Here is a 20,236-nt window from a genome sequence, read left to right as displayed (position 1 = left end):
GTGGAAAGATCATGATTGATTCAAATTAATTTCTAGAACAGCAGGAAATCTATCTAAATATGATATAAAGATTTAATCTTAACTTGATGCCTCTCCAGCCATTACACATGACTTTCTTCTTAAAGAAATATCGAATGCTATACATTTTTGCCTGACAATTGCTTATAGACTTACGGTCTCTCTTTGATTTGAGGGACAGGTCATATTTTCAAATTAACCAGAAAATGGCCAGTTGCTCATACGGAGGGTGATATTAAATAAATTCACAAACTAATCACCCATTTCTTACTTTAATCATTCAATTAGAGTGACAATTAAATTGCACAAACATAAAATTATTTTAAAGCAAATCTGATCATATTTCATTCCTTCTCTAATCAATAATCTTCACTGAAGTCCTTTGCCCAGAGAACATCTTGATGCTTTATGAGCTTGTAAAGGTGTTATCTTCTGGCTTTTGCTTGATTCTCCAGTCTTGCGTTTTATTCCTACTCTGCCCTCTGACCACTTGAAGTTCTCTATATTATTCCTTCTTAATGTTTGTGTTGTTCCCATTTCCCAGGTGCTTCAACTGCCTAGATGCTTCTCAAAATCTGTGTATGCAAAATAGGCGAGGGGGTCTTGTTAAAAGGCAGATTTGAAGTTAGTAATTCTGGAGTGGAACCTGAAGCTGTGTATTTCTAACAGTCTTCTAGGTGATGGGAATACTGCTGAGACCTGTAATACACTTTGAGTAGCATGGTCTCAGAGCTCTGGTTTTCAACCAGTGGGTGATTTTGTGCCCCAGGGTCATTGGGAAATACCTGAAGATATTTTATGTGTCATAACTTCTGTTCTTACTGGCACCTTATAGATAGAGGCCAGAGATATTGCTAAATATTTCACAATGGCCAGCAGAGTCGACCAGGACAAATGCTTACTCAGTCCAAAATGTTTGTAGTGTGAAAATGAAAATCCTTGATCTAGAAAGCATGTAGTTTTCAGAAACCAGCTCGGCCATTGCCTCTTCTCTGAAGTCCCTAATCTCACCTAAGCAACCCTGATTCTTACTGGCTTCCTCTGTCTACTCGACTCCTCATCCCCCACACACCAAATCCAATATACTCATTGCTTACCTGCTCCATTATCAGTTACTTCTTTATCATGCTTCATTTCCCTTAAATTTGTAAGCATCTTGAATGCAATTATTGTATGTGTCATAGTAGACAGCAACTTTATTTGTTCCGTTGTCAATTTTAGGACACTTATTTATTTGATTAAAATGAGATGTTTAAAAAAAGATCATTAATGTTTTCAAAATGCAATTTAGCAATGACAACAAGAAGCAAAATAAGGTGTCATTTTGCTTAATCTATCGATATCACAGAAGAATCTACTGTTTCTGTAAGAGTTGAGGAAAATTAGCATTCCCGTTGTTCATAGGCATGTTATCTGGTTCACTATCACTTAGAGGTAAATTGCTGATAGTCTTTAGAATACACTGTTCTTTGACTTCTCTTGAACAGGTCGCTTTTCACCAGTAAACTTGGAACCTAATAAGTCTGTTGACATAGAGGAGGAATTCTTATCCATGAGTATGTGCTAGGGACTCTGACTTCAAAAGGGGGAAATCGTGCACCTAATTTAATATTTTTTATGCTTCATGTAGGAAACAAATCATAGAATCATTATTAATACAGTTTGCCATTCCTGGCCACTGCAAATATGTTTCAATCTTATTATACTGTTTTAAATACATTGAAATATTACTTATAATAATAAACTAACAATAATGAAGAAAATAATAATAATAAGAAACCTACCAGTATATTTTATTTAATGTATTAATGGGGAAGCACTTATAATTCTATATCATTATAAAAATACTTCAGTAATTTGTATTTCAATATAATTAACTTTTGTTGTAGTTCTGTTTCTTGACCTGAAAATATTGTTTATTGTTCTCATAATTGACCCATAGGCTGCAAGGAAAACCAAAATTAAGAGTGAAAGCTCTATCCCAATTCAATACTTCAAACCCTATCAGTTTGAATAATTTATATGTCTGAAAACAGTATTTCATGTCTATGCTTTTACTTTTATGTGGAAATTTATTAAAATTCTCTATCATTGGGTATTCAGAAAACACTGTGTAAGGACTATCCTGCAAGACAAATGAAATATATAACATGCTGTATTAGTTTTCTATTGCCACATAAGAAATTACCCCAAATTTACTGGCTGAAATCAACACACATTTATTATCTTACATTTCTGAAAGTCTGAGGTCTGATACATACCTCATTGCAATACAATCAACCTGTCAGCAAGCTGCATTCCATTCTGGAGGCCATAGAGGAGCATCTGTTGCTGGCTCATGGAGCTGTTGGCATAATTCAGTTCCGAAGGGGTGGTGGGAAAGGGGTCCAGGGTTTTCCTGCTGCTTGTAAGATGAAGGGCCATTCACTGCTCTCCTTGGCTAATAGCCCTTCCTCCATTTTCAAAGTGACCAATAGCAAGTCCAGTCTTTTTCATGTCACATTCTTCTTCCATCATTTTTCCCTTTTAAAAACTCATGTTATTAGGGTAATCTCCCCATCTGCAGATCTGTACTCTTAATCTAACTGGAAAGTTCTCTTTTGTTATAGCATATTTATAGGTTCTGGACATTAGGACATGGTTATCCTTGGGGAAACAATATTCTGCCTGTAACACATGTTCTATATATAGGTATAACCCTACGTCAAGTTTTACCCATTCTTATCATTAGCTAACATTTTGAGAGCAAATTAGTCTGGACACAACTAGCCCAGGTGCCTAGAAATATCTCACAATGAGCAGAACATTCTTTATCTTCAAATTTTATTTATACCTTATAATTATCAAGTGAAGATACCTGAATCATATGTCCACCAATGAAACTTAAGTACATTTTATTGTAAATAAATATAATATATGTAGATCTATTATAATCAGCTCTACTACAAAATTCTTACTGAAGAGGATGAAAAAGTCTTTGCTAATATACTCTTTTTAAGTTTCCTTTCTAGACCATCTTTTTCTAACTTCCATTAAAAAATTCTATATGCCCCGTGTATCAAACTTTAAGTGTGACATTGTTACGACTTAATGCAAATTGAGTTGTTTTCTCCAAAAATCTCGGAGTGCTGATTATTTGCTTCCTTAGGTAGAACTGCTCAGCATGCCAGCCACCCCCACCTTTTTTTTTTTTTTTTTTTAAGATGAGGGCTATTTCTCAGGATAGATATGTTAAGGGAGAATATATTAAAGATGGGATTTTTTTTTTTGCATGATGACTACTGAGTCACATATTTTCTTACACACCTATGTCAGAAATATTTTACTCGAAAAAATATAAACTTCAATTATTTTCTTTCTCTTTGCCTTCGTAACTTGGTATAGTAGTGAGATTTTTCATACTGCTTCTCATATTGATTCATCACTTACAAGACTGCAGCAAAAATGAAAAAAATGTGGATTTTCAAAGTCAGAAAGATTAGTACTTAAAATTTAACACTAAAAATTAGTGGCTTGCACAATTAATTAAACTGAGGGTCAATTCAATATTATTATCTCTAAATTTGAGATAATATATATTTGTAAGATTTGGCAATTAGGGAATATTCAGGACCCCCACAGATACCAAAACTCACAGATGCTCAAGTCTCTTATATAAAATTATGTATTATTTGCATGTAACTTACATATATCCTCCCATGTACTTTAATTATCCTAGATTATTTATAATACCTAATACAATATAAAGACTATTAACGTTTAATAGCATTTAAAATACAAATAGCTGTTATTATGTGTTTTTTATTTGTCTTATTTTTTTTTTTCTGAGTATATACTATCTGTGCTCATTGAACTTGTGGATGTAGAACCTGCAAATAGGGAAAGTCGACTGAATCTGATAACAGATATAAATTATGAAGGAGAAGTCAGGGCCAGCCTGGAGTTGATACTCAGATTATTTAAACTCCAAAATATCGCATTCCATAATATATATCTTTTGTAAACCAGTTCTACTACAAATTACATTGGCAATACCTTTGTTAATTCTTAAATGCTTTCATCATTTCTCTATTACTTTTTGTCTTGGATCAAGCTCCTACAGGGTCCAGTCTATGTTTAACATTTCTAAATTTTACTCGCAGTCTATTTAAAATTATATTAGACCTATATTAGAATTACCCGCTATAAACTTTACAAATAAGCAAACTAAGATTCAGTGAAATGAAGTAACATTTTCCAGGATAGGAAAGCTACTTGCTGGCAAAGCAAGAGCTGAAACACAATTCTAACTCACTGAGAAGTTCTCCTTTGAACACACTATTAAAAAAAAAAAAATCAGGCCTGGGTGCGGTGGCTCATGCCTGAGGCAGGCGGATCACGAGGTCAGGAGTTTGAGACCGGCCTGGCCAATATGGTGAAACCCCATCTCCACTAAAAATACAAAAATTAGCTGGGTATGCTTTTGCCTGCATGCCTGCAGTCCCAGCTACTCAGGAGGCTGAGGCAGGAGAATCGTTGAATGTGGGAGGCGGAGGTTGCAATGAGCCGAGATCACACCATTGAACTCCACCCTGGGCAACAAGAGCGAAACTCTGTCTCAAAAAAAAAAAAATAATAAATAATTGTGTTAATAATCACATATTTTTTTTTAATTTTTCAAGCAATTTTGAAGATGCAAAAACCACAGTAGAATAATAAGGCTCATATGAATAGGACATATTGTAGTAGATATTTTGTTTTAAAAAATTTTTTAAATCAGAAAGTAAGATATGTTCCCTAAGTTTTTATCCATCACTAGCACAAAGATGTTATTATCATTCCAGCAGTACTGGGACAAACTATTAGAGTGATTTTACCTAAAACCAGAACACATAGGAAATGGAAGTTAGTAAACATTTGAGTTATGTACCATAATTGAAATAATAGATTCTAGATTAAAAGAGATAAGTGAAGACAAAAAAACTAACAAGTTTTTACAGATCATGAAATAAAGATTAAGCCTAACAAATGTCTGAAGAAAGGACGTGTAAGCAATGATAATAAATAATATTGACAGTAACAATAATCATGGTAACCAACAATAATATATTTAATGCTTACTATGTGTGAATCACTGAGATAAAAATATGGCTATTTCTATCAGCTTTTACCACTAAACTATGAAATAGACAATATTATTATTTTCATTTTATAAACATAGACCAAGACAGTGAAAGACACAGAGAGTACGTACATTGGCCAAAGTTTTGACTAGTTTTAAATAAATGAAATCAGCATCATGAGAATTATTAACCTTAATCAGTATGTTCTATGCAATATGAAAAGAATAAAGCCCTATAGCAAGCATGTGCAGTGTTCAGTGTGGAGAGAAAATGAATCTTGGAAACACAAATACCCTCAGCAGAGTTATATACAGAGTGGTCCAATAGGCCCTCAATACTTTGAATGAATTTTCCATTGATATTTTCCATTTCCTTTTGCTCATAAATGCCTGAACACTGAACAATAATGAGTATGTGCCAGTTCATATTTAGTTGAGAAAATACTACCCTGGCTGTCAATGGCTACCAGCCAGCATAGAGATAATATATTGATAAACATTTCTTGAACACTAATCCAAAGATACATACACACACATATATATGTATATATGTGTATGTATATATGTGTTTATGGGTGTGTGTATGTATAATCTTATGGATCTTAATATCTTTGCATATTGTGTGTGTTGTCTTTTTTTTTGAGATGGACCCTTGCTCTGTCGCCAGGCTGGAGGGCAGTGGCATGATCTCAGCTCACTGGAACCTCTGCCTCAAGGGTTCAAGTGATTCTCTCACCTCAGCCTCCCAAGCAGCTGGGCTTACAGTGCCCACCACCTGCCCGGCTAATTTTTGTATTTTTAGTAGAGACGGGGGTTTCACCATGTTGGCCAGGCTGGTCTTGAACTCCTGACCTCATGATCCACCTGCCTCGGCCTCCCAAAGTGCTGGGATTACAGGCGTGAGCCACCACGACTGACCCTTTTTAAAATATCTTGGTATTTATGTACAATGTTTTTGTATGAAAACTTTCTTGGAAGTAAAATTCTGGAAATTGCTTATGAGAAGATTTTATTTTTCAATTTTGGACTGTCTTGATGGAATCCTACAAAATTATATTGGTCAAAGAACACTTGAATAAAGTATCCTCAATAATTACCTATGTTTATTGGGTGAAGATTGCCCCCCGCAAAAGAAAATTAGGAACACATACATACAGAATATGTGGGATATAAGACTTACATCATTAGTAAAACCCTCCTGGTCTACATTTTTGAATACTACTCCAACATGACAAAGTAGATTATTCAGAATGTTATAAGTCTCTGGAATATTTGAATCACAGTGTACACTAGCCACAGTTAAGCGGCCAAAAAAAAAAAAAATTAGAAAGAAGGCTGTTAAGTCTAGAAGATTGAATTTGTACAAGAATTCCTTCTTGGGGAACCACAGGTAAAAGTAGAAAATGAAATAAAATACGAATTACAAAAGGGGAATGAGAAAAGCAGTTTATGGCTTGCTGTAGTAAACAGCCCTTTAGCCATGCTCAAATTGTTCCCTTTCTCTTTAGCGTTTTTCAAACCAGCGAAAAGGATTGGTAAAGGAACTTTGGAACTAAGAGCTGTTTGCACTAATGAGTCTCCTGACACTGTCCCAAGTGATGGGCATGGCAGAATTCCATCAATAAAACATTAAGATAAAGGACCCACGACCCTTAAGGTAGCAGCCAAATCTCATTCCAGGGACTTGCATTTTTGTGTCAATTAAAGAATAGACTTCAAGAGGTGAAATTCACTTTACTCAGGCTTGTGGGATACCTCCGGCAAACATTAGCACAACAATCGCCATCTTTTTTGCAACTCTCAGGTCTGTGTGTAATGACCATCTCTCTCATTTCTCATTGGTGTACTGTTGTTCTAATTTACTCACCAGGACTTGCATTTACGTTCTAACTGAGCTTGTTGGACACTGAAATGGAGGAAGAATCACAAGCCATTTTCAAACCTGTAAGTATTTCCTATCTTTATAAGTAAGCCTCAATTCATTTTTTTCTTTGCTTCCATCAGGACAGTTTCAAGACAACTCTGTGAGGTAAGATAATTTTTTTTAATGAAACATTGCTTCTATAAGTAAATTTAAATTCTGGCTTCCTTCTGGGGCGATCTCTTTCTCCACTGTTTGGTTCTTGAATTTCAGGGAAACCCACAGTGAAATAGGTAGTAGTACCACTAACTCACTCTGATTTTTTAAAATTTGTTACAGCAGCAAATTATTCTATAGTATAAATATTAGAATGGAATTTACATTGAATGTTGGTATATTTCTGCATTTCTCATTACATTTAAATTAACTAAAGGGTTTTTGTTTAAAGCATCCCTTCTCTTGAGGAAAATGTAGGTAGAATTATAAAATCTTGTGGTTTTACATATGGGACTTTCTTTCACTTAATTTGCATTAAGCTGCCACATTTATGTCTTTAAAGAATAAACAAATTTACATTTTTGCATACAACTTGCCTCATCAGAAAAAGCATTGAATATTCAGATATGTGTAATTTGTCTTTGCTGTCACATTGGTTTAGGGTGTGATTTACCTGCCTTTTCTAAGATATTTAAGTTATACCATGATTAAATAACATGAAGGTGATAGACCAATGGAACATTTTAATCTCACGAAGAAAACAGGTGCGCAAATGTTAGAGAGCACCCTACTCCCACTCACCCTGCAATATACCAAATTCAAGTGTTGCCTATGATAATATTCAACCTCCAACCTGTTCCCCAGAGGCATGGCACTGCCAGGAGCAACTTCTCACTAGCAACAGGTCCTTTTACCTCTGACACTTCCAAAGGCCCTGTCACCATAAACAAGCTCGTTTTTTCTCTCTTGCCTGATTGCTCCAGTTACAAAATAATGTGAGACTTGGGAACTTTAGAGCAAGAAACAGTGCCTTTGTTACCACCTCTATTTCATAAGTGATGGAATGTATTTCATCTAAGCACCAAAGATGCCAAATAATCTATCTGAATTGAATAGTCATTTGGGGGCAGAACTGAGTTTAGAAAACATATTTCCTAATTTTCGGAATAGAACATCTTCTAATATATTGTTCCATGTTTTTGAAATTTAGAAAAATGATTAAAGGATTTTATTGTGAGTGGATTAGATACCTGAGCAGGATGTAAATAGACAATAAGAATAGAAGGCAATCCATTAAAGACCAAAAATAGTTCTTCACAAATCAGAAGACAACAGCCCTTCAGCCTCTATAATAACAGAATGTGAGGAATCTTGCCATTCAACTTCCTTTTCAGATACTAGGAAACAAAAATTTAGATTCAGGAGAATGACTTCCCCAGGTCGTGCTTTCAAAAAATGCTGTTTTATTGATTACCCACTCTAGGTCTTGCATATAACATATTACCCAGTGCATTAGGAACCAGAGATATCAATGCCTGATCTGTGCTTTGCTAGGAATATAGCTCTAAACAAAGTAGAAATAATTCTTGTGCTCACAGTATCTTTTGCCTAATTGAAGGAGAGAAAGAGTAAAGATATTTATGAGTAAATATCTACTAATGAATTGTAGCTATGGTAGGTTTTTAAAAAATAATTACAAGTTGAAATGAGATATGAAGGGGGTTGCCAGAGGAGGTCTAAAGATTATGAAAAGCTCATTTTGAACAACTACAGTTGAAATAAAACCTAAAATTTAAATAGAAATTGGCTAGGCCAAAACAAAAGGAAAACAAAAACATGAGTGAATGATAGGAATGTAGTCTAAGCAGAGAGAGAAAGCAAAGTCAAACCTGCAAATTGTAAGGAGGACAACATAATCGAAGAATTGTAAGAAGACAAAGATAGCTTGAGAGTTTTGAGATAAGTGGATGCTATCAGAATATATTGGTAATGAGTGCAAAGGCCAGTCTGTATAAGACCTTATTTCAACACTAGGTCCTTTAATTCCCATTCCATAGCTACGGTTTGTTAATTCTTAAAATTATTTTTCTTTTTTATGCAACATGACATAGAAAAAATTTGGAATTCAAAGGTACTTTACATTTGCATGTATTCCACACATCAATCTCGTGCTTTTCTTGCAAACTTTCATTTTGATTGTGTAATCAAAACTATTGGCAGATATGGCCAGCTAAGTAGAGTTAAAGAAATTACACTACATTACATCCAAACATGATGCTCTCAGCCAACGTACAATCCCTTATCATCAAACAGTTTGCAGTGAGCATGTATTTTGCAAGTTTCACTATCTCAATCTGTATTTGCCCTCAAACCTTCCTCAGGCTCTGTCTACACTGTCAAATCTAGAGTTGAGCAGTCTCCCAGGGAAAGGTATCAGTGGAGACAGTTCAGGTCAAATGAGTCACCTTTTCCCAGATTCTACTCTGTAATAGCCTCATGTCTCCTCTTCAATTTGCCTGCATAAACAGAGCCTTAGGGCAACTGTGAGACTAGCAGGTACTCTAAACGTGCCTCAAATAATATTACAGATTTTGAGGTCTTGTCTACAAAGCATATTTGACCCATAATATTTCAACACTGAAAGAGAGGATAGAAAGATTCTATCCTAATTTTGTTTTGTTATATTTGAAGAAACTGAGGCATATTGAATCATTAGTGCTGTTACGTGGTAGCACAGAGACATTCCTTGGAGGGAGCAGAACTGAATACAAATAGTCTGACCCTTGATTCAGAGGGTTTTCCCTGTGTTTCAGTACATTGTGACTGGGATCCATTCATTCCAACAACCATTTAGCAAGTACTTAATATTTTCCAATACTGTGGGGCTTCTGCAAGACAAATAATCAAAGCTAACCATAGTTTATTTCAAGTAGGAATTGTGCTCAGTGATTTACATGTAATTCTTCTAATTGCCACACTATGGCTAGGCAGGAGAAATGATTATTAACCCCATTCTGTATAAGAAGAGAATGAAGATTTAACGTTTAAATAACTTTTCTCAAAATGACACAACTATTTGGGTGGAGGATAAAATTTCATCCCTAGCCTGAAGTCTTAAGCATTATGCTATTCTGTCTCACAAGTAAAGATTTAGGTATTATATGGGGAAAATAATTTTAACTTATATATTTAATTTAATCAATATTTTCTGACTCCTGCTATGCATTTGGGATTATGTTTCTTGCCGAGGGTGCTGTGGGGAAAATAATACACATAATTCTAATATTTATAAAGTGTATTAGTCCAGTAGGTGAGAACTACATTTAAAAATTGTTAAGTACTAAGAGTACTTTTAATTGTATTTTAATTGTAATCTTAACTACTAGGGATTAATGGGAGGCACTGTAAAACAGTATAACAACTCAACAGTGGTGCCCAGGAAATTGTTGTCGAGATCAGGCTTAACAGTTGACAACATAAAAGCAGAAGTGAAGAAAATTAGAGGTAGAAAGAACAAGGGTGGGTGTAAAGGTGCTGGGCTGGAAAACAGCTGGATACATTCCAGGCATAGAAATGATCAATGTGATCCCAGTGTATCGAACAAAGGGACCAGTGCTGCAAAATTGGCTGAAGAAAAAGACAAGGCATGGGCACTGAAAGATTTTGGTCCTTCTCCTAGAAAGTGTTATGTGATTATGGGAAATTTTAGTGGGGAGGTACCACGGCAGGATTTAGGTTTTCAGAAGAATGTCTTGATTGTTATGTAACAAAGAGATTATAGAAGTGCAAGAGTGAAAGATTCCAAGTGGTGACATTTCATTCATTTACTGCCATATTGGCAACCTGCAGTACAAATAGAGAAGGGCAAGTATGTTTGACAAGGCTCCAGAAATCACTGCCATTTAAATATTGTGGAAAGAATGGGGCATGTTTACTCTTGAAAAAGAAACCAAGGGGAAAGCAGGCCTTTTTTAAGGAGAGAATAGAAACAATGGGATGAATTTCCAAGGAGACATATGTCAGCTCAATATGACAGAGTCATTATTATACAAAGAGATTGCCAATGATATAATAGTCAGTTCTCTGCCACTGAAGATATTCAAGGAGATGTTACACGTTTTTACTTTTTGGATATTATAGAACTGATGCCATTACTGGAAGGAACTTTTGGGCAAGGTGCACTCCTGCGAAATTGAATGCTAAGTTCCTTCCTTTGCTTTATAAAGCTAAATTTCAAACAGCCTATTGCTAGAGATGAAATAGCATAATTTGTTTCTGTGTATAATTCTGATGGAATTGTTAAATCTTATTTACAAAGTGAGGACCTACCTACCTTCAGAAACTTGCATGGACTTTTTGGCACAAAAGTCATGACTGCTCACACCTGTAATCCCAGCACTTTGAGAGGCTGAGGCGGGTGGATCACGAGGTCAGGAGTTCAAGACCAGCCTGGCCAAGATTGTGAAACCCCTGTCTCTACTAAAAATACAAAAATTATCTGGGCGTGGTGGCGGGCGCCTGTAATCCCAGCTACTCGGGAGGCTGAGGCAGGAGAAACACTTGAATCCGTGAGGTGGAGGCTGCAGTGAGATGAGATCGCACCACTGCACTCCAGCCTGGGCGACAGAGCGAGACTCCATCTCAAAAACAAAAAACAAACAAACAAAAACAAAAAAAAGGTCATGACTGACTCAGTTCAGCTGGGTACCTGCGTGTAAGTGGTGACTGGCCACATAACAGCATAAACTGTGTAGGAAGAGCTTCCATTTAAAAAAGATTTGCCGCTCTTTCTGTTTCTTTTCTACCAGTGATTATGCAAGTACCAAGATTGAAAATATTTTTTATTATTAGTTGTAAAAATAAAATGAAATATTATCTAGAAACTCAAATGTAAAGTAAATTTTTTTCTCCCTGTGCTTTTTGTTCAGTTTTCATGATCTCTTTCACTTGGCCCATCACATACAGACTTCAGTGCTCCCTTCCTTCTATGTCCCGTTTTGTATGCTATGCCCTGCTCCTCCTTCCTCCTTATAGCTGCTAGTGTGATCTTTCTTACACGCACATCTCCTGTGCCTTCCCCATGTTTAAGATATGCATACACAGTAAACTTCTTTTCAGTGCTGCAATGTAAAGCTTATATAGTTTTACTTTGATATAATTTTTTTATTATTTTAATCTCATGTACTGGATCATTCTCCCATACAGCCTTTTTTTTTTTTTTTTTTTTTTTTTTTTTTTTTTTTTTTTTGAGATGGAGTCTCGCTCTGTTGCCCAGGCTGGAGTGCAGTGACGTGATCTTGGAGCACTGCAAGCTCCGCCTCCTGGGTTCACACCATTCTCCTGCCTCAGCCTCCCGAGTAGCTGGGACCACAGGCACCCGCCACCACGCCTGGCTACTTTTTTGCATTTTTAGTAGAAATGGGGTTTTACCGTGTTAGCCAGGATGGTCTCGATCTCCTGACCTCGTGATCCGCCCGCCTCCGCCTCCCAAAGTGCTGGGATTACAGGCATGAGCCACTGCTCCCGGCCACATCCTTTTTTTCACTTATTATAATGTATTCAAGTTACTGTGAACTGCTTTTTATTTACTTTTCAAGCAAAGATGTAGAAGCAGTGGTTATTATATATCAAGCATGTAGATTATACATATAATATAATATGCCTGTATAAATATCTATATTATTATTAATAATATATCTATATATAGATATATTGTATTCATCATAAAGACAGATGTTTATATATTATTATTAGTCTCAGTTATGGTAAAAACAATGGCTGCCATTTGAGGATCTTGATATAAAGCAAGCACTCTAATAGGTAATCTACATATGTGGCTTGCAATTGTTTTTTTTAATTCATTTATTTATTCAACATATATTTGTTACAGGACACTCTTGGGCATTAATCCAGGAATTTGGAATAGTGCAATGAACAGAACAGATAATGTCCTTGTTTCAAGGAGCTTATATTCCAGCTAGTCATAATATTAAATTGTACAGAGATAAGTATTATTCAATATTAATTCTGTCTCTCTTCTACTTTTCTTCTTATTCTAAGTCCTACATAAATATAATTTGCCTTAGGAAAAATAAAGTATAAATAAACACGTTTTCTCCATATGTGCCCCAAAATGAAAATTCAGTGCTTAAATAAGCAACACATCTTAATATGTCTATTAAGGAATGTTACAGCTGCCAGAACAGAAATGGGTTTCTAACCTTGTTTTGATTCAGTAACCTACATTGTCAAGGAGATATGCCAATTGGACTGTATCTTTGAAGCTTTGCCTCCACCATCTGTATTCATTTTAATGTCATGCCATCAGTGTGTCTCTTCAAGTGGAGACCATCTTATTCTTAATATAGTAAGGTAGCAAAGAGTGCTTTTCATTTTGGGAATTGCAAGAAGTGCAAGATGGGGGACTTTCTGGGTTGAGCAACAAAGTCCAAGGGAAACCCCTGGTGAGCCTGTCAAAGGCAAAATGTAAGGAGATGTGAGAAAGTGTCACATGTTATCCAAAAGGAGGATGAGTGATTGGCAAGGTCAGGCTGTGTGCAGAGATAGCATTTGGGCCCAGTTCAATTGAAACATGAAAGCTTAGATAAGTCAAAGGGCTGTGAGAGTGGGAAATTGAAAAAAGAGTCAAGTTCTTCCTTATGGTAACTTGGTAAGAAAAAGAATCATTTATGTTAAAGGAATTAGGCAAGTGGAAAGAGAATTATAAAAGGAATCTTAGTATATAGTCCCTAGAATATTAAAAACACAACAAATTATATAAGTCAATCGAATGATTAATTGTGAATGTGTGCAAGGGTTGGGAGTGTATTTCCAAAATATCCGAAGAGAGTATGACCAGTTAATGTTAATAATCGCTTTTTAAAAATCTCACGAGGCAGTGCCTGTCAAACTGTGATCTTTGAACAGTTTCAATCAGAATCACTTGGTAAACTTTTAAAACAAAAATGCAGCTCCCATGGCCATTTTTCTTGCCTGTTCCACCCACATATGCCAGGGGTGGGGCTTTTTTAGCAAGTTCCCAGGGGTGAGGAATAGGCCTTCTTCCTTTAATCAAGAGAGGTATTTTTCCAGAATCTCATTTGTGTCTTCACAGCTTAGTTCTGCTTATTCTCCTCCTCGGCTGCACATGTGCCTCTTGCTGTGTTTCCACTGTGGAATCCACACTCCAGCCACACTGACATGCAGATTGACACCAGACTCTAGGTTTTCCACCTTCCACGATGTCACCTGTTTCTTCTTTGCCTGCAATATTATGCAAATATCTCTCCTTTCCTTTTACCTGACTAGTTTCCATCTTTCTTTCAAAACTCAACCTAGAGTCACTTTCTCTGGGAAGTGTGTGACGAGTATCCCAGGTTCTATGTTAGGCAGCCTTGTCCTGTGCTTCCCCAGCTTTTGGTGGTTGCAACTATTCTTTTCATCCCAGGGTGCACTAACCCATTTACATGGGGTTTTTTTTTATTATTTATTTTGGAATTCCTGTGAAGGGTAGGTTTGGTCTCAGGCAAAATGCTGGTCAGTAACCTCATGTAGTGTCTAGTGAGGAAGATCAAGAGTAAACGATTACAATAAAGTGAAAAGATTGAAATGATAGGAGAAACGCAGGACACTATAAGACAATACTATGGCATCCCAGATCTTATAGACTGCCTGTTGCGCAGTTCAAAACTTACATGTCTGCAGCCCTCCAGAGGCTATTGGTTGCTTGAATTCCAATTTCTGCATACAGCCTAAATTGAGCATTCCTCCACAATCTCAATAAATTCTGTAGCCATTGCTAGAGTAGTCTCTTCTCCAGCTGAAGAAATTTTAGCACCCATCTATTTTGTACTTAGCATTGCCTATGTGCTTTGAGTAAGAATGGGCAAAAACAAACAAAAAATACAAAAGCCATGTTGGCCTTAGCCTCAGGTTAATTATGTGCACTAATTATGATAGTATCTGCTGAAAGACATAGATTATTTAATTTATGTCAGCCCTTAGTGTGAATTATATCACCTAAACCTCCCATCATTCTTATGGAGTAGGTTGTGATTTTAATCTCCATTTTACAGATGAAGAGACTGAGGTTCCAATAAATAGACCCATTTGTATATAGCCACAGAGTAATGAGAATATAAAAATGTTGAACTCATAGAATCAGAGAGTAGAATGCAGGTTTCCAGGGTCTCTGGGGGTGTGGAGGTGGGGATGGGAAAATGTTAGTCAAGGGTACAAAATTTTAGACAGGATAAATAAATTCTGGAGATCTAGTGTACAGTATGGTGACTATAGTTAATAATTTATTGTATATTTGAAAACGGCTAAGACAGGAGATCTTAAATGTTCTTACCACAAAAAATCATAAGTATATAAGCTGATGGAGATGTTAACTTGATTTAACCATTTTGCAATGTATACAGATGTTACAACATCACATTTTATAACATAAATATATACAATTCTTATTTGTCAATTATATCTTAATAAATTTGAAATCCCTTGATTTCAAAACTATGAAGTTTGACTCCAGAACACATACTCATATCCATTAAACTGTCTTTCCTGCAATTGGATTCCACTTTAATATCCACTGTGCTTTAGATTGAGGTTTTATTCTAATCCTGTCATTTCTGGAGAGAGGCAACATAGCAGAGGATCTAGGATCAAAATGCTTGGTTTTAAATCTCAGACCCAGTACTTATGAACTAGGCAGGCTTGAGTGTATCAGTCAAGCTTTCTGTACTTTAGTCACTGGCAAAGTGGAAATAATGAGAGTACACAATTTTTAAAGTTGCCTGGATTAAATAAGTTAATACATAATAAATTATTGCAACAGGACTTAGCAAATAGTAAGCACTCAATTTTAGTTACCATCACTACTATTACTATCATTGCTATTATTATTCTTACGACTATTAATAGAGCTACTATTACTTCCACCATAGTTGGCTGGTGAGCACTCAATAGATCAATTAGAATCAGTTTTCCCACCTCATAATGGGCATTTAAATCTTCATTGCTCTCCCTACACGATTTCTTTGAGGATGAAAATAAAAAGTGAGTATAACATTATTTCAAGTTATCTGACTCTGACAAAGTACTTATAAATACAACCCTTCAATTTTTGCTTTTATTAATTTCTTGTTTTGGATGATTCTGAAAGATATATGATAGGACTGGAATAACATTCTAAACTCAGGAGGAAAAAATCTTCAAATAATCTCATTTATATCTCCATGACATCAGGTTACCCTTAAGAAGGGAACATAAAATAAAAATAAAGGAACAAGAATAATGTCAAATGATCCTAATGATCAGCATGTGAAATATGATGAAGCTGCCTGATCTCTACCTGCCTATCAAATATACACTGGACCCTGGACCCTAAATATACATTGGGCTCAATGAGAAAGAGGGTGCTACTTTCATTCATTAATGCAGGAACTTTCACCTGCATGCACTGGTTGTTTTGTTTTGTTTTTTAACCTGTGTTCTCCATAATATTATGAAGTATAATACATTATCCCTTCTCATCTTTGGTTGACAAATTTTCAGCTCTGAGAGATGAAACAAGTTACGTATAGACATATTAATAAATGGCAGAGTTCAATGATTCCAGAGTTCAGGCACTTTCCACTAGGATATGACACATCCTAAATATGCTGTAAAACAACTAACAAACAAGTTAATTCACCAGCCCAAGAAAATAATGAGTGTTTTAAGAAATGGCATAATTGATGGTTAAATTAATGGACAAATGGTACAGAAAGACAGATATGAAGAGGATGGTTGGAGATCTGTATTTCTATTACATAGATATATAGATAGTTAAAATCCTCAAATCATTCTAGGTTCTAGAGCCTGAAAAAGTGTGGCATTAATTTGCGTGTTCTTACCCTACAGTAAAGTCCCATGTCTCTATGTCTTAGTTTCATAATCACATATTCTTTTTCTTCCTTTCAATAATTACAAGATTACAAATGCTCCATATGGCAAATTTTGGAAAAATTTGAGATGGAAAGCAAACTTACAGATTTTCAAAAAATTCATAACCGCTGTTATATTTTCAACACTTTATTTTATAAGCTCTTTTTATTTGTTCTGTTTTTTTATATTTTCATATTTCTATATTCTATTCTTTGTTGATCTAGATATTCCTACATCTGGTCTTTTTTTTTCTCCAATTTAGTGTTCGGCAATTTTATTAAAAAAAATTGATACGATTACAAAAAATATGTAATTTTCTATCTTGAAGATTGATAGAGATTTAATTCACTTATTACTCTTTTGTTATTTCCAAATTATAAATAAAATGTATTATAATTTAAGTTGTCATAAAAATACCTTTGTTACTGAAAGCTTCTCTGTATCAATTTTATTACAATAGAATATATTCCTGATAATTGAATATTAGAAAAAGAAAATAGACATATTTAATATCTTAACATATATTACTAAATTGCTTTCTGTAAATGCAATAGTCATAGCTGGGAGCCTTCAAGAGAAGGGGCATTTCAGAGGGAAAGGCAATATGGGAAAGGCAAGGAAAAGATAGGATATAGATTAAGAAATTTGACAGTAAATGTAGAACTAAAGTATGGAAAGACTGAGCAAAATAATTAGAAAATATCTGTCAGCATTCGTTTTAAATTCATAGCCAGCCAGAATCTAGAAAACATAAAGTGTGTAAGGTTTTTAAATTTGAGACAATTTTTTTTTAAAGAAACTGAGTGAAGGGATTGTGAACATGGTGTTCAACTACAACAGAGAAGAGATCCCTGACAGCCCATGTTTGGCATCCTGTGTTCATTGAGGTGTAGGCTCACGGAATTTCCTGGCCTTCAACCCTTCAACACAAAGGTTACCTGTATGTTTTACTGAGATGCTTTTGAAACCGGGCTGAAATTAACTAACAAAACGCTAGCTCATCTCGCACAAGATGTGTACAAATAACTCCACCAATGTTCAGGCTGGTTTTGGCAGCTCAGGGCAATCAAACATTCGAATAATTGAACCTTGATGCAATCATCAAGGCACTGATTTCTTTACTGTCACAAGTCACCCCAATAAAGATAAAAATGATGGCCTTTAATTATATTTTAATTTTCAAAACTGAAAAACACAAAATAAATAATTAAACAACATAGTGCCAATTATACATTTTTATTTTGGGGGACGGGTGGCATTGAAGTGTTTTTCTTTCATTGTGATTTCAATATTGCCCTGAGGGTTTTTTTCTTTTACTTTTTTCCTAAATGTGTATTTATGAAACTCAATTTATCAAAAATAATTATAGATGACAGTCACAGATAAAATTATTTGATTAACAAGTATGACCCTTTAGAAAATCACCACAATTGTTTAAGAATTACTAGTGGTTGGGCAAACAGATTTAAATGGACACATTCGTGAACACATTTAACAAGTGATTACCGAGATTAAAATTAGAGAATATAAAATTAATTGTATTCTCTGTTTTTGAGAAGCTCACATTCTGATGATAATTACAGGTAAGAATCACATATTCTGCGATTTTTAAGACCAGTAGGGAAAAGACCTCTGTCTTGTTTTTTCTTCTTGTATGCTATGAAGCTCTGATGATAGAATGTATAGGGTTTTCAAAAACCCCAGAGAAGGCACATCTAGTAAAGCCTAGGGAGTTAAAAAAAAATCAATTTCAGAGGGCAGGTCATTACTTAGCTGAATTACCCAGGAAATGATGGCAAACCACGATCCAGCAGGATAAACCATCACTTGCAAAGTCATGGAAGTGTCAAGGAGTTGGAGAGTTGGAGAGTTAGAGAATTCAGAATATCTGAAATTTGAGTTTGAGGTGAAATTCATGAACTAGGCAAGAGACCAAATCACACATGAATGTTATAAATTTGGACTCTGTTGTTAAGTATTGTTGGAAGATTTTACACAAGTAGCAGTCATATGAAAAGTTTAGAAAGATCTCCCTGGTGGAAAGATGGAAATTAAATTTGGAGAGTTTAGGAAGTGAGAATGTCATCAGGGTAATTTATTAGACTAGTACAATAGTTCAACTGAGATGTAAAGAGGCCCTTTTCCATGATAATAAATGGAAGAACAGAGACTAGAAAATATATAAAAGATATTTATTGTCAAGGATGTAGAACATGAGTTTGTTTCAAAAAACTCAGTTTTTTTTTTTTTTCGTTCTACAGATGTACAGTTGGGCATCTTTTAAAACAGGGACTGTTAAAATGAGAAAGAATGAAAGCTAAATTGCCTTCAACTTAGAATAATTTCTTTTTCAGCTCTAATTTTCCTACGTTCGCTGTGGAATTAGGTATTGAAATCCACTCAAGTTTCTAATTTTCAGCTTCCTTGCACCAACACAGCCTCACAGCTGTGAATTTGCTAATATAATGGATTCCCAGTTAAATCTAACAGTGGGGTCACTAAACAAACATCCTTGCATGGTGTATTTTCATATTAATAAAACTTAGATCAAAATATGGATATGAATAAACTTAGGGGTGTGTATTTCCACAGAATGGTTCTTAAAGCTATTCTAATTCAACATGTTCCCTTGACCAAGTTGTGACAGATCTAATTTTTTTCATGTGATGTTAAGGGATTGCTATTTTAAATACTTGGCACTACAGTGATGTAGCATTGGTGCAGTTCTTAGATATCTCCTAGTCTAAAATTTAAACAGAGGTATTTAAGTGAGGAAGTGATTTAAAAAAACCCAGATACTTCTAATTTATAATCCTGGGATTAGTTCCCTTGATGAGTCCAAATTAGAACATTCCCCTCTTAAAGCCTGAATTGTTGTTCACTTCAATCATGAAACCCAAACAAACATAGTAAAATATAATGCATAATCCTACATGTCTATATTATTGGAAAATCTGGGGTTTGGAACCTTGGAATCTGTATTACAGTAAAAAAGTAAACCAGGTGTATTAGTCCATTTTCACACTGCTATAAAGACATACCTGAGACTGGGTAATAAAAAAAGAGGTTTCATTGACTCACAGTTCTGCATGGCTGGGGAGGCCTCAGGAAACTTACAATCATGGCAGAAGGGGAAGCAGGCACATCTTATATGGTGGCAGTGAAATGGGAAAAGTTTCCTGGTCCCCCTCGCAGGGCATGCGACAGGGGGAGTGGCTCGCTTCTTCAGTGCCCCGCTGATCACACCTCTAGGGGAGCATACAGATGGGCGGGTCGTGGGGCTCTGACCCCACAGCAGTGTCTAGGTCTGGATGTTGACAGCTCCCGAA

The 20,236-nt window shown here is 35.4% G+C and overlaps 1 long non-coding RNA gene across 3 annotated transcripts in view; it reads left to right on the top strand.

Annotated features, from left to right (window-relative positions):
• Positions 1–20,236, top strand: part of LOC105371308 (uncharacterized) — a 512,336-nt gene that overhangs the window by 305,637 nt on the left and 186,463 nt on the right. For 2 of the 3 annotated variants that reach the window (XR_001752232.2, XR_007065221.1), the window contains exon 4: positions 6,990–7,063. This is a non-coding gene — a long non-coding RNA (uncharacterized LOC105371308). Of the gene's footprint in view, positions 1–6,989; positions 11,415–20,236 lie in introns of those variants that run through there. The other variant, XR_007065220.1, reaches the window with a different exon arrangement.

The sequence above is a fragment of the Homo sapiens genome, chromosome 16 (genome assembly GCF_000001405.40).
Source record: "Homo sapiens chromosome 16, GRCh38.p14 Primary Assembly".
NCBI lineage: Eukaryota > Metazoa > Chordata > Mammalia > Primates > Hominidae > Homo > Homo sapiens.
Note: the sequence above shows the minus strand (reverse complement) of the source record. Positions and strands in the feature narration are given on the sequence as shown.